Source organism: Homo sapiens, chromosome 3, assembly GCF_000001405.40.
Source record: "Homo sapiens chromosome 3, GRCh38.p14 Primary Assembly".
NCBI classification, from domain to species: domain Eukaryota; kingdom Metazoa; phylum Chordata; class Mammalia; order Primates; family Hominidae; genus Homo; species Homo sapiens.
Genome location: NC_000003.12, coordinates 172,107,089 through 172,130,015, shown reverse-complemented (window position 1 = coordinate 172,130,015; position 22,927 = coordinate 172,107,089). Strand labels below are relative to the sequence as shown.

At 41.2% G+C, this 22,927-nt stretch overlaps 1 protein-coding gene across 11 annotated transcripts in view, besides 1 other annotated feature; it reads right to left on the bottom strand.

Moving 5' to 3' along the window:
* The window catches only part of FNDC3B (fibronectin type III domain containing 3B), a 362,092-nt gene that overhangs the window by 271,654 nt on the left and 67,511 nt on the right, over positions 1-22,927 (bottom strand). For all 11 annotated transcript variants that reach the window (NM_022763.4, XM_017007062.2, XM_017007064.3 and 8 more), the window contains one exon: positions 17,426-17,564. In NM_022763.4, the coding sequence (NP_073600.3) occupies positions 17,426-17,536 (111 nt within the window). In that variant the 5' untranslated portion in view covers positions 17,537-17,564. The remainder of the gene's footprint in view (positions 1-17,425; positions 17,565-22,927) is intronic.
* Positions 22,652-22,741: an enhancer, noted in NCBI's record as "active region_20819". NCBI's record gives its function as "activates an Ori minimal core promoter by ATAC-STARR-seq in GM12878 lymphoblastoid cells {active_cell/tissue: GM12878}" and the evidence as "EXISTENCE:reporter gene assay evidence [ECO:0000049][PMID:35858748]".

Sequence of the window (22,927 nt, the reverse complement as noted above, 5' to 3'; positions counted from 1 at the left end):
TCTCTCCCCCTCCCTCCCTCCCTCTCCCCAACCACAAAGCAGAAATATAATAACTGCTACAAGTCCTCCTTAATATAAAATGCGATACAGAACATCGCTGTCCAAACCACATCATTTTTTGTCTACTCACTAAGCATTTCCTACTTTTCCAAAGTCAGCATTAAACTGATTCATACTGCACCATGTCTTCAGAGGAAGAAAAAAAAGACAAAGATTTTAACTAGATATTTTTTTTCTCCAGAGATCTTAAGAAGAACCATGCTAATCAAATCATGGGAGCATCCTCTAAGCTACTATTGCTTCATCAGATCTGTTTCAAAACCGTTAGTGTTACATGAACCAAGAAGCTGGAAATAAACAGAAGGCAGTTTATCAAAGTTTAATGAAAAATAAGTGACCACTCTTCCAAAGTCCAGAGAAACAATAAAACAAGAGTTGCAATTAATACAATTGAGTAAACACAGCATCATGGGAATTCTTTGTCTAACAGGAGAACTGAAAGAAGGTGTAATATCTTTCCTTTACAGGTATAAATCTAAACCTAACTCTGTTTTATACTCATTAAAAGAGGAAAAGGGAGGCTACTTTTGCAATTTAAACCTTGGGTGGCTGATTAACCAGGTGCCAATAGTATCTAAGACTACTCCTGGAGGCAAATGTCTAATTTATGCCTCAAATAAAAAAATTACCAGTCACTCAAATAAGCAATCAGGGTAATGGATCAGTCCATCAAAAAAGCTTCTGGCCAGGTACAGAGGCTCATGCCTGTAATTCCAGTGCTTTGGGAGGCTGAGACGGGGAGAATCACTTGAGACCAGGAGTTCCAGACCAACCCCAGCAACATAGTGAGACTCCATATCTACAAAAATAATTGTAAAAATTAGCCGGACATGGTGGTGCATTCCTGTAGTTCTAGCAACTCAGGAGGGTGAGGCAGGAGGATCGCGTGAGCCCAGGAGGTCGAGGCTGTAGCAAACCGTGACGGTGCCAACTGCACTCCAGCCCGGACAACAGAGCAAGACTGTCTCCCAAAAAAAAGCTCCTCCTGGGAGAAGAGTACCAACTGACCAAAGACAAAATAGTACACTTGCAGCATTTTTAAGCGTTAAATCCAACCCTCAGACAATCAAGATATAAACCATACCAGAGAGGAGATCCCATTTCACTTCTAGAGTTTTTTCCACTGGCCACACTTTGTGTAGCTTGTTTTCATGTATAAATGAATACTTCTCCCTTGGAGCCCACATTTATGATTATCCAACAGGTATCTTTAAGGGGGAAAATGATACAATCTAAAAGCTGCAGAGGAGTTCCACGCAACTAAGGATTCTAGCCAGGAATACCTAATAACTTCAAAAGTGACCTTTGACTACATGAGAAGAGTACTACCACCTATTCCTCATGCTACTATTTTCTGGTCACACATACTCCCAACTCCCCACTCCCCAGCCCCACCCCCAAGATTCCCAATCTCCAAGCTCTTCCCAGGCCCCCATACCCAAACTGTTCATCCACACACACCTTTGAGACCCCAGTCTGTGTGCCATAGAACACAGCTGGCCTCAGGCAAAACTGAAAAGTAAGCAGTATTTGTGTTTTGAGCCCCCTCTTTTCTCCAAATCAGGAAAAGGGAAGCGATGGGGTGCGAATGCCAAATATTTATCTTTGTGGTAATAACACATGCAAAGAAAATGTCCCAGGATTAAAAACATAAGCAAGTAAACTAGAAAGATCCTGGAAGAAGATGTGAATGTGTCCATTGCCTCATTTTGCTCACTGCCCTACCTGAAGCCTGAATCCAAAGCTGATTGAAAAATAATATACAATAACAGGAAGCCTCCAAGGGGACCTAAGCAAACACTGGGAACTCAAGGTCCAAGGGTACACATTGTAGGTGAAGCTCCCCTTGCTCAACACAACCCGTAGGATACATGGCAAATATGTTTTCCTGGGCTTTAGGACTCTTACTATGCAAAATAAGGAGCAAGAATATCCACTACTCCAAAAGTTTTAATACTGTTTTCTTCAAAGAATAGAAGGTTCAAAAGCTGTATCCTCGGCCGGGTGTGGTGGCTCACGCCTATAATCCCAGCACTTTGGGAAGCTGAGGCAGATGGATCACTTGACATCAGGAGTTAGAGACCAGCCTGACCAACACCCTGTCTCTACTAAAAATACAAAAATTAGCCGGGGGTAATGGTGGGTGCCTGTAGTCTCAGCTACTCTGGAGGCTGAGGCATGAGAATCGCTTGAACTCGGGAGGCAGCAGTTGCCATGGCACTCCAGCCTGGGCAACACAGTGAGACTGTCTCAAAATAATAATAAATAAAACTTAAAAATAAAAATGTGCTGTTCTTTGTTTAAAAAAAAGCTGTATCCTCAATATCACATGTGTCTGTAAGATTAATTTGGCATGATGCAGGGTACTTTATCAACTCCTTTTTCCAGGTTTTTTTTCTACAATGATTAAGAAACAGCTACTACTTATTGAATCCCTGTCATCTGCCAGGTAGATAGTAACTAGATTTTACAAGTGGGGAAACTGAGGCTTGAAGAAGACAAGCAACTTTTCCAAGGTCACAAAACTACAAAGTGACTGGAATCCAGCCATGTCTGACCAAAATGTATACTCGTCTAGTCCACACCACCACTTCTCCCCTCTACTAGGCGTGGTTTCACCATGTCAATTCAATACAGAGATAATTCAACAAGACTGCTAAAATAAGAGAATGCAGTTAACTGGGTCAAAGGAACATCCCCAAAGGCAGGACAAGTTCTCTTCTAGGAAATATGTGTTCCTCCCTGAAGCAGAGCCTTCTACCCCCAACTTCTTTTTCTTCAAATTCCTACCAGTAACAAGTCTCTCAGTTAAGTAAAATTACAGTCTCAAGAAAAATTTTTTACCAAATCTGCCATGTTTCATGCTCTCGATAAAATCTAAAACCAGCCACTTCTCACCTCTGACCAGATTTTCTCTTTGGTAAACATTTGGGCTCTCCTTAAGGGCTCACCTCCCAATGCATTCACATTCCAGTGTCTGCTCAGCTTCTGTGTGTCCCGGCAACAAGAGTGACTCCTATAGGAATCCATTCACAGAAGTTCTGAAATCTAAGCCCTTTACATCTACAAAATGGTTTGAATTACTTGGAAATGCTTCTAATTAAGATTATCATAACAAAAGCCAGCAATAAAAAGTAATAAAGTAACACCACAGTATGTGGAAATTTCCTATTAAGGGCTCAGAAGTCCAGGAAAGGACCCTCTCCGGCTCAGTTTTCTGACCCACAAGCTGCCCTCTCAAAGCACACAGGAAGAATTAAATTCGGCCACCTTTTTATATACTTTTAAGCAACTAGTTTGAGACGTTGTCCACCATACAATCCAGGAAAACAGAATTTTACAGCTGGATACTTAAGACCATTACAAAGTTGAAAGAAGCTGTCCAGATTTAAGACTTCAAGGCAAACACACTAAAAATGCTCTTTTAAAATGTAATGCTTTTAAGATTTTCCTTTCTAGATTTGAGTTACTAGAGCTTTGTTAAGCAACTGTTGGAAAGCCAGGCACACTTAGATTCTTGGTCTTGGAAGAACTACAGCTTTGAGGACATACACACACTGACTTGTACACATGAACAGATTATTCCAATTCTTCTCTCATTCTGCACCAAGTCCAAATTCAAGACTGACACTAGCCTCTACAGAGAGCAAAGGAAAAATGTGACAAAGATTTTCCAGCCAGCCCCGCCCCTCCTCCCGCACACCCTCAGCACATACAAGCACACAGCCGATTCTATGCACGTTGAATTCGGAGCCAGTTTATGTACCATGACATCAGTGCAGTATAATGAGCCAAGTTGAAACTCCATCTGGGACAAATAATGTCCAGGCACACTGTGACTTCTTTTGTTTATATACAGTGACTAAATATGTCTTGGTGGTAAATGAACTAACTCAAGATTTATTTCCCAAGGCCTCCAAAACGATATTCTGCACCCTGAAGCAACTCCCTGCCTCCAGTTCTTTTTCCAAGGCTATGCATAAGTGATTTTTAGCAGAACACATGATTTTTGAAACATATAATTAACATCTTCAGGAGAGTCAAAGTCCAAGCAGTCCTTCATCAACCTAAAACAAAGAAAACGAGGAACTCATGAGCAACCCGGTACGGTATCACTGCTCATAGTAAAAATCTGCGTGACACTTAATTCTGTATTCCCCTTAGAAAACAGGAAAAGTAGAAGCGAGAGATTTAAGAAATACCTGTGACGCGAAGTGGCCATTTTCTTTCCTTTTGAAGGATACACTTTGTTTCTTTTATTCTGGCATTACTCTGTAAACTCAGAATGAAAAACCACCTAATGTGTTCAAATCTTACAAGGTTTTAAATTTCTTTAGTCTCAAAGCTGCATCTAGGGTGATGCAATTTTTTAATGGAAATGAAGGACGGGGTTTGGGAAGAAAAGGTAGGCAAAAGGCCCTCTCCTAACTCCAGGGTGAGACTCCCACGGGGGAGGAACCTCTACTACCTCTACTATCTCTACCTACTACTACCGTCTACTACCCTTCTCTGGCCACCACCATCTCTCAGCAACTGCTGACCCGGGAGGGAGCAGCCCTCCTACTGCCAATCTCAAGAAAAGAACCATTCCCTAAGGAAAAAAGGGAGCCGCTGCTGTGACCCGGACTGGGGCTTCGGAAGATTTCACTCCCAGCTCCTTTTGCAAACACAAGCCTGACCTCCAGGCCTTCCGACACTACCACTGCTGCTTAGTCCTCAATTTTCAGAAGCTGGGGAGCCAGAGGCACTGCCACCTTCTGGAGTTAATGTGGAGATCATGTAAGATAATGAAGAGGAATGGCCTCTATAAAGTTTACAATTTACTACTGTGCAAAAACCAAGTGCCATCTCGCTCCCCAGCTGTTTACCTGAACAAGACTAAGAGAGGTGAGTCCAAGCCAGGCAGCTCCACCTTTCCCAGAAGGTAGGATCTGAGTTTTGGAAGAGGAGATAAGTGGGTTCAAATTCCAGCTCTGTGATTTGCCAGTTGCAAATACTCAACCTTTCTCGCCTCGGGTTTTGTCTATAAAGATGACTGCCGCCTTACAGCGTGTGTAATTACTGGATGAAATAATGTGTGTAAGGGCTCAGCACCAGCCCCAGCACCTCGTAAGCCCTCCCCAATAGTCACTAATCCTTCCCTCCACCTCGGCAGGAAGAAAGAGATAAAAATATCCATTAAAAGCCACTGTTTCCAACAATTTTAACTTAGTGTCCACAGATAACCACTCAAGTAAAAGTTGAGATTGGATTGAGACTAAAAGCATTCTAGTAATCAGCAGGCTTCCAAAGTAGCACTTAAGTTTGAGGTAAATGCCAAAAATTAACACTTAGCATTCTTTCAAAGTCCTAACTCTGACCTTTCATACAGTTTTTAGATTGCTAAGGTATGGAAATCTCTGGAAGAGTCAACCTTACAGCATCTTTTGTCCTACATTTCCCTCTAGGTTTAAGAGTAATTGTTAGAAAATGAGTCACTGTCCCCCTCCAAAGACAGCATTCACACCTGGTGTGACACTTATCTTTCTGCCTTGTTAATGGAGGCTCTTTAAAGTTCCAAGATTGGCCCAGGCGTGGTGGCTCACGCCCGAAATCCCAGCACTTTGGGAGGCCAAGGCGGGAAGATCACTTGAGGCTGGGACTTCGAGACCAGACTGGCCAATGTGTTGAAACCTCATCTCTACTAAAAATTTAAAAATTCACAGGGTGTGGTAGTGGGTGCCTGTAATCCCAGCTACTTGGGAGGCTCAGGCAGGAGAATTGCTTGAACCAGGGAGGCAGAGGTTGCAGTGAGCTGAGATCGCGCCATTGCACTCCAGCCTGGGCGACAGAGCAAGACTTCATCTAGAGAGAAAAAAAAAAGTTCCAAGTGTGCAGAAGTAGTCAATAAAAAGTAGGAGCACTCTCATCCCGAGTAAACCACTTTAAAAATGAGAAAGCAAGAGACCGTGGGAAGTAAGCTGGATGTGGACACCGATCTATGAAAGGATAATGTCTCCTAACACCCAACTCCACCATCAATTGATTCCCTGTGTCCTGAAAACAGACAGATATTATTCATATAGATAAACCTAGTATCTGATTTCCTATCACAAACCCTAAGAGAAAAATATGGATGCCATTCATTTGTAATTCTTATTAATATTTTATATTATAGTTTTACATTCAGTCATAACTAAAGCCATCAAGTAAATTATAAAGAAATAGCCATTCTATATAGATGTTTTCCATGTGACTTTTTTGCCAAGGTGATAAGAGTTTAAATGGGTTCTAAACAGATCCATTCTGGCAATATAAAACAAAAATTAAAAATTAGCTGCATTACTGTGGCCTATTTAACTACCAAACAACATCATTAATTAAAGCACATCCTTCTGTATGTCACAGCTTCTCCCTTGAACTAGAATGACAACTCAACACTCCAATATAAAGACCAAAGAAACTTCTGAGACAGTAACATGCTCAGTGATTAATGTTTCTGACTACTGCTTAGAAAACACAAAAACATTTTACCATATTCCAGCCTGGGTGACAAGATGAGACCCCAACTCAAAAAAAAAAAATTATCAACTTCTGATTGCATGAATATAACAACAACAACAAAAGGTTTGGTTAAGGCCTGGCACAGAGGGTCACACCTGTGTAATCCCACATTTTGGGAGGTCTAGGCAGGACGATGGCTTGAAACCAGGAGTTTGAGACCAGCTTGGGCAACATAAGGGGACTATCTCTACAAAAAATAAAAATAAGTAGCCAGGCCATGCTGGTGCATGCCTATAGTCCCAGCTACTCAGGAGGCTGAGGTGAGAGGATAGCTTGAGCCCAGAAGGTTGAGGCTGCAGTGAGCTGGGACTGTATCACTGTACTACAGCCTGGGGAACAGAGTGAGTCTCAAAAACAAAACATATTAATGACCCTTCCTGAAAACTAAAAGTCATGTAACATAATTGGTCAATAACACAAGTCCATGTCCCTTCAAATCTAAGGTGTGGCTAACAAGAACTGATTTGCATTTTTTTAAACAACAGAAATGGAACCTTAGTAACAAGTTTACTGATATACTTTCTAGTCAACCTGCACCCAAAACTAGACCACAATTACCTCTGGATCTTTGCTGTCTCCACTTAACTGCCCAATTATTTGCAAAGCAGAAGCCCTTGGAAGGGTAATTTGCTAAATGCAGACTGTCCATTTTATTCAAATGCTTGTCTACTATGCTGTAAGGAGCAAGGAAGGGGCAGGAAAGAGAAGACCCAGGAAGGGAGGGCCAAATTATTCTTGTTCATCAAAGTGCTGAACACACCTGCTGCTCAGGTAAAACACATTCCCTCTCAACAGATGATCTGATCTGATGGTCACCTGTTAAGGAAAAAGGCCCAGGGCAGGGAAGAAATACCAATGTAGGCATTAACACTAAAGCAGCACATGCATAATGTTTCTTCTGGGGACCCACCATGTCTAGCTTCAAGTTATTGTAACATTAAAGCTGACCAGAAAATGACTAAGAGGCATCTAGTTCTGGCCAATGCCAATTTAAATGAGGGAACAAATATAATCTAAAGGCAGCTAAATCCAAGATTACCTAGATAAAACACTACAGCACTTCAGCAACTGGCTCCTTGGCAGGCTGTTTATTTTTGCATTTGGAAATGTAGGAGAGAGAAAAAAAAAAAGAACGAGAATGAGTATCTGCATTTGGAACTTGGAGATTAATGTTACGAATTTTACGCAGCTTGCTTACTACTGTCATGTTTGGAGTGTAACGCATATATTTTATATAGTCATATGTTTAAATCAATCATTTGGACTAAAAAAGAAAAGAGTCTGCCTACATGAAAACGATTATGTGCAAACATATTCTGGATGCAGAAGTGTCTCGTCTTAACACATTCTGGATGCAGAAGTGTCTCATCTTTTCTTCCTGTGTTTATAGACTACTTTTACTGTACTATGAGATACATCAGTAGCTATCACATCACATTCAACATGACAAATACACATTTTCAAAACAAGAAAAGGAGAAATCAGAGTTTGGAAATCTATCCAATTTAATCTTATGTCTTTAAAAGTTAATATGGAAATGCTTTATGGCCGGGCATAGTGGCTCACACCTGTAATCCCAGCACTTTTGGAAGCCATGGCAGGAGGATCCTCTGAGCCCAGGAGTTCAAGACCAGCCTGGGCAACATAAGGAGACCCTGTCTTAAATACTTACATACATACATACATAAATGCTTTAAATAAAAATTCCTCATCTAGGTAATACCAGGAAAAGTTTACCCTTAAAAACAACTCTTTCAATAAATACTTAAAGACTCAATTCTTGGAAACTGTAAAAAAGAATATAAACACAAGTATTTGCATCTCTGCGCTTGGACTGCTTTTACCTTGCATCTGTGTTTAATGTCTCCTAACTAGACTGTAAACAGTAAAACTAAGGAATAGGATTGTTTCTTTTGGCCTGTCTATGCTTTAGTGAATGTTCCATGCGGCACTTATTGGGGGCCTCAAATCCTAAAAACTAAAAGCCAAAAAACAAAACAAAACAAAAAAACCCACACGGGTCCTAACATGTAAGAGGTAAAGTTGAAATCCTTCTACAAAGCAACATGAACCAGCGCCCAGCCTAATTCATTTTACAAGTCATGGGGCAAGTAGATAACTAAAAGATTTTAAAACACATTATCAGTTTGATACACAATGCACATGCCTGAAAAAATTTTAATCATTTTTCTGTATTTAAAATATGATATGCATGAGCACAAGATGCAATTTAAAGTTTAAAAAGTTAACAATTTCCAGATTCCAAACCCGGATGACCACAGAGTTCAGGCAGGCTCGGAAACTAAGTGAAGTGGACAGAGTAGGCACCGAAGAGGACATTCCGCATCAACAGCAAATGGCTGCAACTTCTGTGCCAATTGTTGCCAAGTAGGAAGGACCAGCCCAGTGTTAACATATCTTCTGGGTTGTTGTTGTTGTTTTTTTTTTGAGACAGAGTTTTGCTCTTGTTGCCCAGGCTGGAGTGCAATGGCGCAATCTCGGCTCACTGCAACCTCCGCCTCCTGGGTTCAAGCGATTCTCCTGCCTCAGCCTCCTGAGTAGCTGGGACTACAGGCATGCAGCATCACGCCCGGCAATTTGGTAGAGACGGGGTTTCACCGTGTTGGTCAGGCTGGTCTTGAACTCTAGACCTCAGGTGATCCACCCGCCTCGGCCTCCCAAAAGTGCTGGGATTACAGGCGTATGTCTTCTGGTTTTTCCAATTAAACAGAAAAATCCAGAGTTTTATATAAATCTTCCCATTTTTAATATTGGTACTGAAATCTTTTTCTTTTAAACTAAAGGTAAAAAAACAAAAACAAAAACAACACACACACCCCCCCCCATGCCTGTATGACAAAGGCAATAAGCTACTTTTCAAGCCCTGATATAGATGAATTAAATCTGTTCATTGCCTTCATCCTTCATCCATTCAAAAAGATTTACTGAATGTTACTTCAGATGCCAGGCACAGCATGAACAAGAGAGGGACAGTCCCTACCCACCCTGAGTTAACAAGGAAATCAGACAGCCAAAAATTGCAATAATTTGAAAACAATCATAATGTTAAAATCACCTTAGATTTTAAAATTGCCATTATTCTGCAGTGCAATGCTACCATGCCAGTATTTTACCTTAATCCTTCCTGTTTTAAGGGCAGCTCAATTTCTAGCATTTGAAGGATACTGACTACATCTTATATCTTATTATTATTGCCTTTGGCTAATTAAATTCTGAAGTGTCTCTCAACCCAGACAGCTCAGAGCTGCCATAATTATATGTCCTATGTTCTAATTATTGGGGGTGCCACATATAACAACACCCTCTGATAACATGGCATCAACATTTTCCTTTGTAAGACTGAGATTCTGCATAGGCTATGCCTTTTTGGAAGCTTTTGTAGTGAGCAAAATTGGCAAAACTAACTCAGAGAGATCTGAAAAGTCAGACCACAGATCTGGATAAAATCACACCTTTTTTTTATAGTTAAAAGGAGGCCCTCAAAGCAAGGGTTGCTGCCTCCGCAGCTGGAAAAGTGGATCTGGTTGTGGGGGGTGCTTGTGATCTGCCCCACTGTGGAGTCAGTAATTCTGAGCAACAGGCATCAAGCGGACGGGTGGACCTTCGGACTGGAGAATCAGAGGACAAATACATTCACTAACAAAGACACTAAGTAGCAGAAGTTCAAGCAAAGAGATCACCGACTATGCAGATAAGGTTTGTTTGTAGTGCCCCTAATAGCTCTCCACTGCATATGTAATCCCTATAATGTATTCTCCTTTAATAAAACAGAAACGGATTACTTGATGTACAAAGTCTGGATAGTTCTAGCCTTCACTTCATCTTAGATCTGATCTGACCCAGGCTCAGCCTCCCCACAGATACTTTTCCTAGCCTGGTCTGTTTTCCTGCCCACTTATCCCAATCCTCAATTCCTCCTCTGAACTCCTAAGCACTGTGACACTCTGCAATCCAAGCACTCTCCTGTGATTTCACGTATGTGTAAATACAGCCTTTTTTTTTTTTTTTGGTAGGCCACATTTTGCTCCTCAACTAGACTGCTCATTCCTTTAGGGCAAGAACAGTGCCTTATTCATCTTTCTGTCACCAGCACCTAATACACTGCCAGCATATAAGACATTTGATAAATACTTATTAAAATGAACAAATCTATTATTCAGTCACTCCTAAATTTAGTCATAAATCCTATCCTCTCATTCTTTTTTTTTTTTTTTTTTTTTTTAAGGCAGAGTCTCACTGTGTCACCCAGGCTGGAGTGCAGTGGTTCAATGTCGGCTCACTGCAAGCTCCGCCTCCCAGGTTCACGCCATTCTCCTGTCTCAGCCTCCCAAGTAGCTGGGACTACAGGCGCCCACCACCACGCCTGGCTAATTTTTTTTGTATTTTTAGTAGAGACGGGGTTTCACCATGTTAGTCAGGATGGTCTTGATCTCCTGACCTCGTGATCCGCCCGCCTCAGCCTCCCAAAGTGCTGGGATTACAGGCATGAGCCAACATGCCAGCCTATCCTCTCATTCTTTTCCACCCCAAATTTCAAAGGAGAGAGGCTGACGGTATCTTGACTCCAGAGGGCTTTATAAATTTGAGTGGTAGAGGAAGCATGAACGGCAGTCAGCAATAATAATTTCATTTAAGTATTTGCACAGGTTGTGCATTTCTCACGCATCTTGATGCTGAAGAATGTGATCCAAGACCGAGCTTCCCCATACTTGGTTTTCCATACCCAACATATGACCAGCCTCTTTCTACTTTCTAGCTCAAGTCCCAGCCCATAACAGGATTCTGCCACAAAAGGAGCTCTTCTATAATGTTATTTAGCAATAATAGCTGCAGTCTCTTTTTTAACTGTCACTCCCATTCTCATCTGAATATCCTTCTTTCTCCTGGGTAATCGTCTCAAGAGTTGTTTATTCATTTTTCTACAATATACTGATTACAAAACTTCCTTTCTGTTGGGATTTCTGAGGAGTAGACAAACTCTGTTATGTAAGCAAAACTCTTCACGGGTCCCCCGACACCGTGGCTATCAGTATATTTAAGGAGTAAACCTGTGAGGTGACAGGATTTGAACTACTGAATGCAAGACGGAAGCCATCAAGAAGAAAGTTATTAAGAAGATATCAACCAGAACAGAAAAGGTCACTGGATTAGGAGGAGGGGCACATTTGATGGAAAAGACATGCTGATGATGAGCACCATCTGAGGGTGGAAAGCTTTAATATGTTGAACATACTGTCTGGAAATGTGTATTCAAAAGAACACTCCAGGAAAAAACTCTGGTTACATATTCTGCCTAGAGGAAACAAGGGCTTTCAAAAGAAGAAACAAAAGAGGGAAAAAAACTCTCTCCATGAAATGACATGCTAAGTGCTGATCAACAGGAATAGGCAAAGTCAAGAGAATTGGACATGATTGAGGCAATTGCCTTCTGCCTTCCAGGGCAAGTAGATGATAAATTATCCTGAGCTAGCAGGAGAAGCGAGTTTTCTGTATATGTTTAAGGAGTTCTACTTTCTGAAGAAGAAGCATTAAAAACACTCAGCAATATTCTAGAAGAATAGAAGAATTAAAAGAGGCAAGAGAGAAGAAGAATAGTATGACAAATCATTTACTCGATGTCCTCCATATGCTAAATGCTAGTCAGGTCAAAGAGGTATCTAATCCAATCCAGTTCCACTAGGAATTGACCCTCAGTGAATACATATTTAAGCAAAGTCACTAAGAATATAATATAAAGTGGCACACTACTCTCATGCAGGTCACAGATACCCTTATAAGTATCACGTTAAATTAACAAATCAGTAAACTCTGCCACCCTATGTCGACACTTCTGTTTTTAATCTAATGGTTTAACTGGTAGCTGCTATAATTCTTCAGAAATTATTAAAATATTAAATCAATAAAAAGTCAGAATTTGGGCTGATGTTTATTCTTTTGTGCGCAAAACTGGCTGCTACATTTTAAAATCGCTAAAATGCAGAAGTCCATAACAAACACAGGTAAGTTAATATACCACAAGCTTCTGAAAATGTCAACAAAGGCATCAATTTTCTGATTATTGAAGGGCATTCATCATCATTTATAATAGCCACACATTAAAAACTCAGGTTGAAACCTGATTTTTATAACTCAACAATAGTATACAATTAGGCATATTAAGGGAAGCAAACTTTATTTAGCTAAGCTAGGCTGTAGTTATTCAGAGGTGGGAGAAATTAATGGTGATACAAAGCAGAGATAACTTTATTTGGAAAATAATACTTCAAAATAAAGCTACTCAATTTCACTTTTGGTTATATATACGGTTATATATACAAGAGAAATAAAAAACATGTCCACACAAGAATCTGTGCATAGCAGCATTATTCATAACAGCCAAAAAGTGAAAATAACTCAGATGTCTATCAGATCATGAGTGGATTAATAAAATGTGGTAGATCCATGCAGTAAAATATTTGGCAATAAAAAAGGAATACAGTACTGACACATGCTGCAATATGAATGAACCTTAGAAATGTGTTGAGTGAACCGGGCGTGGTGGCTCACACATGTAATCCCAGCACTCTGGGAGGCCAAGGCGGGCAGATCACTTGAGGTCAGGAGTTCAAGACCATCCTGGCCAACATGGTGAAATGCCATCTCTACTAAAAATACAAAAATTAGCCAGGCGTGGTGGCATATGCCTGTAATCCCAGCTACTCGGAAGGCTGAGGCAGGAGAATTGCTTGAACCCGGAAGGTGGATGTTGCAGTGAGCAGAGATCGTGCCATTGCACTCCAGCCTGGGCAACAGAGCGAGACTCCATCTCAAAAAAAAAACAAAGATGTTGGGTGAAAGATGCCAGACACAAAAGACCAAATGTTATGTAATTTTATTTATATGAAATTCCAGAATAGGCAATATCTACCTACAGAGACAGAAAATAAGTGAATTAGTGGTTACCTAGGACGGGGGGAAGGGAGAGAGAAACAGGAAATAGGGAGTGATCCCTCTAGGGTTCTTTTTAGAGTGATAAAAATGTTCTAAAATTAATTGTAGTTAAGGTTGTACAATTCTGTGAATATACCAGATTCCAATGATTGTATACTTTCAGTGGGTGAATGGTATGACATGTGAATTATACCTCAGTAAAGCTGTTAAATAAGGAAAACTGTGTAAGCTGCTTCTGTTCACATTGTTTCTTGTTATTTATTTTTAGTTGATAATGCTTTTAAAAGCTTCATTCGTAATGAGGATGACTTTTCTTTTTAAGAAAATAATCATCCTTTTCACTCTTGCCCTTTCCCTCCTACCTGCGCAAAATGACAAGCCAAGGTTTCAAACTTAATTTGACTTCAAATAATGAAAATTAACAGTGTGTCTTATTTAGAGAGCCAGAACGCAACAGAGAATCCTGCCAAGAACTAGTCCTAATTACATCCAGAACCAGCAGAACAGAAATCAGAAGGAGGAGGGCTGTGGGAACTGCAGAGCTTTCTCATAACTGTGGTAGTTCTTTTGCATATATAGAAATGTTTAGAATGTCCTTTGCACAGCTGCAAAGTATTAAGAACGCTGTAAATACATACAAGGTAAGCTTCACCATACACACTCCTAACAGATATTCAGAGGCAGAATCCTATGGCCAGGGGATGGCTCTTAACAACTGTATGATGTGAGAGGTGGCTGAGGTGCCACATACCTTAGGATGCCACCGCCGAGGGTCTGTTGTACAGTGCCTGCAATGTCCACCCCTAGAGTCAATCCTGTGCCTGCAAAAGGTTCTTATTAAGATGAAAAGGTGTTGCTTCAGTGAGAAAGCACAGTAAAAGCCTCAGAAAACATTCATATAGATCACTTTCTCTGGTATGTCTGCTGTAGCCTGATCCTTTAACATGGAACCACCTGAGCACCACATTACGCAGGCTCTTAAGGGCAGGCAGCAAACATCAGCAGGTGCCCAAAGCAAGCATTCAAAACTCATGCAGCCCCACACTCTGGGATCCTGTCTTGGAGACTCACCTTTGTTCTTTCTTCTTTTGAATGGCCCTCTATCTCTCCCCTTTCCCTACATCCTCTTGTGTTTCTCTGCCACTTTTGGTTTTCCTTCTCCTTCACTCTGTCTTCCCCTTGTGCCTTCACCTGGGTTCAACCCACAGGCCCCAAGCCTCTACCACGCACACCTAGGCCAATGCTAAATGTTAGAACCCAAAGGAAAGAACTGAGGCTTGAAAGAATGAGGAGACACAGGATGGAGACTCTGGGAGCAGAATGAGGAAGAAAAATGTCAAGCACAGAGGCCACTGCCTAGGCTGAGCCCCAGTGATGTAGAGGCAATGACAAAGCATGGTAAATCTTGGGCTGGTCCTGCTGAGAGGGACATTTCTAACACACTTTACCCACTTAACAATTTTGCCCATTAAGGAAAAGTTAGAGTTAATGCCAAGTAATAGCTTGGAACCAAGGATGTTAATGCTTCTAACACAAACATATTTACTAATTAAAAAGACAAAACAGTTCCTTCTTGTGAGATTTTTTAAGTGTACCCCCACTTTTTCATAAAGCTTGAGTATTTTGACTATTTATAAAACAGATACATTAACAGATTCTTCTTATTAGCTTTAGAGAAAGCTTTAATAAGATTAAAAAAAGATTTAATAAAAATGCGGGTTTTTGTTTTTGTTTTCTTTTTAGAGATGGGGTCTCACTTTGTTGCCCAGGCTGGTCTCAAACTCCTGGGCTCAAGGGATTCTCCTACTTCAGCCTCCTGAGTAGCTAGGATTACAGGCATGCACCACCTCATCCAGCTTTGAAAATATGGTTTTATTAACCAAAATTGTTAAGCAGCTTCTGCTTAGAGTTGAGGTAAGATATGCAAGGTAGGGAAATGCCACGTAGCCTGCTGGGCAAGCTGAATTACAGACATGTGGGAGAAATCAACAAAACATAAACATGGTGTACAACAACATGGATGGGTGGCCTCAGGTCTCTTGGCTACACAGGCAAATGGGAATGAGGTGACCACATCTGAGAGACCTAAGTCATTTTCCAAGTTTACTCACATTTGACTAAATACCTTGTCTTTTTTTTTTCTTTGTATTAGTAATTCTTTTAATTGGGAGACCAAACACTGCATCTTGAAACCATCCACAACACTCTGCAACCTTCCCATGAACTACTTGAGCACAGTGAGCAGAAGAGCAGGCAGAGAATGACAGAGAGAGAGGCCAGCACTAACACGGAAGGCTGGCAGCCAGGCAGCATGACTGGATTTCACTCCAGGTGTAAGAACGTGGCCTGAGGTAGGCCAATGACATCAGAAAGTTTTTATTTGGAAAAGACCCCTCAGGATCTATGTGGAGACTGCTTTCTGGTGGGGCAAAAGGGAAAGCAGAGAGACCAGCGAGAAGGGTTGTCCTGTCCTACCCTAGTGAGATGACGGCACGGGGTCCAGCAGTGGTAGTGGAAGTGAAGTGGATACGGCAGAGTATGGATTCAGCACACACTCCTGAGATAAAGCCAACAGAACATGCTAAAGACTGAAGAGGAAGATGAGAACACAGAGTGAAGACTGTAAAGTGGGCGGTAAGGAAGGAGAGGAAGTGGAGAAATACTGCCAAAGAGGGAAAAAGGGACAGAAGGTAGCAACTGGAAGGGGATGTGGAATCAACTGAGGAGGTTTTGTTTTATTGGGTGGGGAGAGGTGCAGGTGTTTACGTTTTTAAGATAAAAGATACTACTGTATGTTGGTGGAAGTAATCCAGCAGAGGAAGAGACTGAGGAATCAGGAAGGGAGTTATCTGCATCAGTGGTGAGAAGACATGAAATGCATTCAACTAACAAACATTTACTGAGCACCTATTATATATTTTTTGTTCTTAAGAGGTTGATAGTACAATGCAGGAGAAAATAATATAAATTATTAAGCAGCAAGGTCAGCTCCAACCAAGTATATGCAAAGAATATACTACGATAGACAGAGGTTGGATATACTGTATGATAGATTAGAGCAGGGGGCATGTACTGACATCAAATAAATGATTAACTTATTTGAATTATTAGTATATTTTGGGTATTTTCCAAGCAATTGCTCCCAATTCTACTTTTCACAAAATAAAAATTCGCTTTTATGCTTCTGAAGGATGTACAAAGATAAAATATCTAGTTGTAAAACTGTGCAAGCCCAACTGTTGCAATAAAAATTTTTAATTAATGTTAGAGATAATAGTTCAATCCCTAATAATTTGTTAAAGTTTCACTTACTGTCTAAATTGTTTCCCCCAAGTGCTACTTGACTGAGTTCACAAATAACTCTATTCCACAATGTTCAGTGACTAGTGACAAAGGAGATTCAGAGAAAATAAGTACCGTGATTTTATGAGCTACACATTTGGAAGGACTATTCCAGGAGCAAGGGTGGGTTCACACTGCCCTACGTGTCTTGTCGAGATCACTCCTGTGTGAAGCCAAAACCTGACCCTCTGAGCATGCAGCTCTGGCCAACCAAGCAAACTAGTCAAGCACAATACAGCATGAATAAACAGTCATTTTATTTCGAAGACTTTTATGCAGTCTGAAAATGACTCACTTCAGAAGTCATCCATTTTTCAATACTTCAAGAATACAAACTGAATGAGGGAAGATTTTGTTCTCTAAAATCACATTTTAAAAAACGATACAGTATTTCTACAACAAAAACACTTACCTCTAGAAATGCTAAGGTTTGAAATCACAAACCTTTGAATCCCAAAATAAATCAAATACTGTGTTACTGTTTCCCACTTAGACAATTTGACTTAAATTTCCCTCTTCCTACACCAACCTGCTGAGCTGCATCTCCATTCACCAAGTGGGGCATCATGGCTACCTCTCCGTTCAGCAATGGTGGCAGTTCCAGAGGGATTTGGTCGGTCATCATCATTGTGACGTACATTCATGGAGAACTTCCCTCAACTGGCTTCCTGCAAGAGAACCGCCGCTTTTTAAAAAGGACTCAGAACCACAAAAATCACCTGTAACACAACAAGTCACATAACAATCTAAGTGCTCCATCGTGAAACCCAAGTTATTCTAATTTGAGAGCCCTGTATTATTATGTCAGGCCCCAAAGAGGGGTAGAACAAAGGCACGGAAATAGCCTGAACTAGGAGACAAAAGACCAGAATCTCTAAGTGGCCATGTGAACATAACTTTCCTGTATCTCAGATATATCCAGGGCAACTTCTTCAGTCAGGCTTAAAGGTAGATTCCGTTGTTTCTATTCCGTTTATTCCATTTATTGTAATGAAATTCATACACATTTTCAAAATAACACAAAGCCTACTTTCATCCCATAGTGGTATCTGCCACCATCATTTAGCTTTGCAATACAATAGAAGGAAAATAACAGTTAATTCCTATTTACAATTATAACTTGTTCCTTAAGAAGTGTTTATTCTTCAATTATGCCCAAAATATATGGCAAAGATGGACAAAGAAGTATAAACGAACAAATATAAATACACACACACGCTCTCACACAATTTTAAATGATCTCAGGAACAAATTGCCATATAGCTCGCAGTTAAATTTATCACTCATAATAGAGTCCCCAAAATTTCAAATTCAAGGACATTTGGTCAATGAACCCTTTAATACTTAATATTCAAATCAGACAAAATAATGGGGCAAAATTGTTAATAACTGCCTCAAATATGTCTCAGGTAGATATGACAGAAATAAAATACTTATTCTCATTCTTAAACACGTCCACTCTAAACGTCAAGCATACCTCTCCTCCCTCCATCCCACCCAAAAAAAGTCCTCCCTTGGAAGTATCAAAAGATATATAAAAGCCACCCAAGAGATTATAAACTTTTTTACTTTAAATAGGCAAAATTTTACCTGTTTATTATACACCCATTTGGAGAAACTAATTATTTTAAGCACCAAAAAATGAAGTCTTATCCCAACTAGAAAAGCAAATTCTATAATAACAGGTCTTATAATTCGGTGTTAATAGTACCATCATGCTGTTTTATGAGGCAATTACTCAGTTCCTAAGCAAATAAAAGTACCAAGCCCAAAGCCTGATAGTTTATCCTCATGAAAGAAAACAGATTCTTTTACAATTAAAATTAAGATAATCCCTGTTGACACTATCATGACTTAATTGTTTGAACTATGAACAGGTCAAATGATGGAGAAGAAATCTAATGTCTATTTCAATTTCATTCCTAATATACTTTATCTTACTAATAATGCATAAGAGAAAAATGGCTATTTTCTCAAATTGATGACATTACACAGGCCTATCTTTTTTTTTTTTTTTTTTTTTAATGGAGTCTCACTCTGTTGCCCAGGCTGGAGTGCAGTGGCATGATCTCAGCTCGCTGCAACCTCCACCTCCCAGGTTCAAGCGATTCTCCTGCCTCAACCTCCTAAGTAGCTGGGATTACAGGCACGCACCACTATGCCCGCCTAATTTTCATATTTTTAGTAGAGACAGGGTTTCGCCATGTTGGCCAGGCCAGTCTTGAACTCCTGACATGACCTCAGGTGATCCACCTACCTCGGCCTCCCAAAGTGCTAAGTATGATGTCTTATTTAATGTTTCTTCAAAATCGCAGGTTGGATTAACAGGGTGGTTATTTACATTAGGGGGTCTGAGTATAAGGATCTAAGGGTGGAGAAGCAATTTCACCTTTTCTTCCCTCCTCCTTGGGCACTTGCTATTGAGGCTGTGGTGCAGACTGTGGCTCTGTTGTCTTCTCTGCATCCCCTCTGCTACATTAGCGAGTGCCAAAGCCCTCTCCTGCTTGGCATAGCTCTGACATCTTACAGGTGAGCCTAAGGATAGAACCTCTTCTCTCTTATCCAACAAGGCAAGAGGAGTAAACCCATTTCAGGGCCTCACTCTAGGTCCCTTCAGCCTCCATAGGTCCTTCTATTAGGCCAGCGTACAGTAAATAATGATACAGGTTTAGAGAGTTCAAATGGGAGGGAGATGAGGGTCCTTAGGACCTGCTTTGGGCTGAAGCTGTCTATACTCCATGTGGTCCAACCCATCTAACCAAAGTTTTGAACACTTGGATTTGCAGCTCAAATCCAAATAATGGTGCTACTTTGTTCCTATTTCTCATTGTTTCTTGTGTGAGTCCTGTGAGGGAATGGGGAGGTTGAACTGAGTAAGAGAAGACAGTTGTGATCTGGTACAATATTTAGGCATTCCTGGTCTCCTGTCTCTAGTACCGAAGAATGTCTGAACACCAACAACACATCTAACACTAACAACTCTAACCTTCTGGTAGGCATTGTGTTAACTAACAGGACCGCTGTCAATGAGACATAGCAATCCAACCCCGCTAAATAGCACCCTTAAGCACAGGTGTCAAGTCCTAAGCAGGGCATTAACTCCAGGTTCTGCAAGTGTGGGATAAGGTAGATGGATCCCCCAGACCCAGGCCCACAAAGGCCTTACAGAAGTAGGATAGAAGAGTATGGGGACTGACACAGATGTGCAAAACCATCTCTTTTCATAAGGCATTTTACCCCCCAAATAAACCAAAGAAGTCCACTGGCACAAGGAGATCATTATATTTGCTTTTGAAAACTTCATAGACAACTTTAGGTGAGATGCCTGAATCTTTTTCTCTACTACGTGATGGACTTTCCACCTCATACAGTGTTCAGTGGTTACTAGAAATGACTGGGAAGGGATGGAGGAAGGGGAGACAGGGAGGCTGTATGTACAAACACTCCTGAGAAAGATCAAGTGGGAACATATGAACATCATACACTCCTAAGTTTCAATTCAACCACCCAACAGTCACACCGTTGATCATGGAGAAAACAGAAGAAATAATAAAAGTGAATAAAGGCCACTGTGAGCCCAGCAGTCTCACTTAGCCATAACCAGTATTGCTGATCTTTTCCCTCAGCCACCAGCTTGCTAGAATCCAAGGCCTTCGGCCGGGCGCGGGGCTCACGCCTGTAATCCCAGCACTTTGGGAGGCCGAGGCGGGCGGATCACGAGGTCAGGAGATCGAGACCATCCCGGCTAAAACGGTGAAACCCCGTCTCTACTAAAAATACAAAAAAATTAGCCGGGCGCAGTGGCGGGCGCCTGTAGTCCCAGCTACTTGGGAGGCTGAGGCAGGAGAATGGCGTGAACCCGGGAGGCGGAGCTTGCAGGGAGCCGAGATCCCACCACTGCACTCCAGCCTGGGTGACAGAGCAAGACTCCGTCTCAAAAAAAAAAAAAAAAAAAGAATCCAAGGCCTTCTTTGTAATCCCTAACAGTTTCACCAGAGATAAACCAGACTTCATCCTGACAAGAATATAAGGTAACAGATTCAGCTAGATGGGGCCTACATGCAGCCAACGATGTTTAAATCCCCATTTCTGTGCTCCATGCACACACAGAGAGTACTTTTATTTGCCTAGAATGCAAGAGACATACAAAGAAATGAATTATTTCGAGGCAAGGAACTGCCCAACTACTTAAAAGCCAACTGCCTGCCAAGCTGTCCCTTAAAATGATCATAAAATAGAAATGACTTAGTCTATGCTCCATAGAAAACAGACTAGAGAAAAGGCAAGGAGGAAAAGCATAAAAGCATGAAAACATAAAACTTAGCGTTCACAGTAGTATCTTTTTGGTTATTCCCCAGGCATGAAAAGGGAAACGTAGTGAGTGTTCCCAGTAGAAAGTCACAGATTCAGGTTGTGAAGTGGGGAAACCACATTGCAAAACCATCAACAGTTAAAGCAGGTTAAGTCAGGCCAGGAGGCCTGGGAAGGCTTGTCATGAGCAGTCATCACTCTATAGTCACAGCAACCCAAAAGTGAACCTCCTCTGTTTTAACCAGTAACTGAGACAAAACTACACGTGGACTTAACTCTCAACAGGGTGGCTCAACTCAGCTGTGAGGAGACCTCAGGAATACCTACCTGATGAAAGCCGACAAGGCTTTTCAATGGAATTAAAAGAGGAAGCAATGGATGTGGAAGGCTTTCATCCATACAGTTAACTTTAAGAACTAAAGCTTACTCTATTTGTTTGTAATGATTGCGAATGGAAATTACACATGTTCTTCATTAAAGAGCAGGCTGGCCACAGCTTTTTTCTTAGGGATTTCAGGACAGTTTATAAGAATACTGTATTCAGTCATAAGGTGATGGATGAGGATGTTACTGAAACATTTTGACCTTACATATACAGAGCTATTATCACCCCACCTCTACTTTTTTTTTTTCTTTTTTTTGAGACAGAGTCTCACTCTGTTGCCCAGGATGGAGTGCAGTGGCGTGATCTCAGCTCACCACAAACTCCGCCTCCTGGGTTCAAGCTATTCTCCTGCCTCAGCCTCCCGAGTAGCTGGGACTACAGGCACGTGCCACCATGCCCAACTATTTTTTGTATTTTTAGTAGAGACGGGGTTTCACTATGTTGACCAAGCTGGTCTCGAACTCCTGACCTTGTGATCCGCCCGCCTCGGCCTCCCAATAAGTTCTTATGCTTAATTTTAATGTTTTTTTTTCTTTCTCTTTTCTTCATTAACCACACTCCCTCCAGTCTCAGGGCCTTTTCCTAAATTTGCTGTCTTAAATTTTCTTTGGGCTGAGCGGCCAGATTGTCAGTTACATACACACACAGAGAGGAGTCCCTGAGTACAGTTTCAGAAGTTCCTCGTGCGCTTTGTGCAGTCTTCCTTTTCACCACCAGCTGATCATCAGCTGTGAAGGTAGCTGAGCAGGCCAGATGTGTGATCTCTGGATAACCGCACTGTAACTCATTTTCATCTTAGTCAAAAAGTCTCAGTAGAAACCACCCTGACTAACACTCATCTTCTTGGTCTGGGTTCCTTCTTTCCTAGACAGATGTGTATCTGAGCTGGCCAAATCTATCACAGGACTCAGGCATTTTGGTCAAGGCTGTACCACATCCACACTGTCCCCCAACACACCACGGAGATGTGATCATGAATCCATTCTTGAAATCAACTACCCTTTACAAATGAAGAAATGCACTGCAAAACTAATAAGAAAAAAAAACAGAAAGTAGATCATCTCTACTACAACGCATTTATTTGTCGAATTCTATGAACTTTTCTTTCCCCCACACAGAGCACCAGGGTTTCTCTCCTATTCTTTATTTTGTTTGTACCCATACTTCCATTTCAAAGAATTTGGTAACAACCACAGGCCCTCGCAACCTCTCCCCCTAACCACACATAACACTAAAACCGCAAGTGCTTCACACCCAGCTAGTTCTATTCTTTTGATTGACAGGGAAAGGCTGCCACGTGGGCACTTGTGATTAACTTCCCTTTCCCCTAAGAAA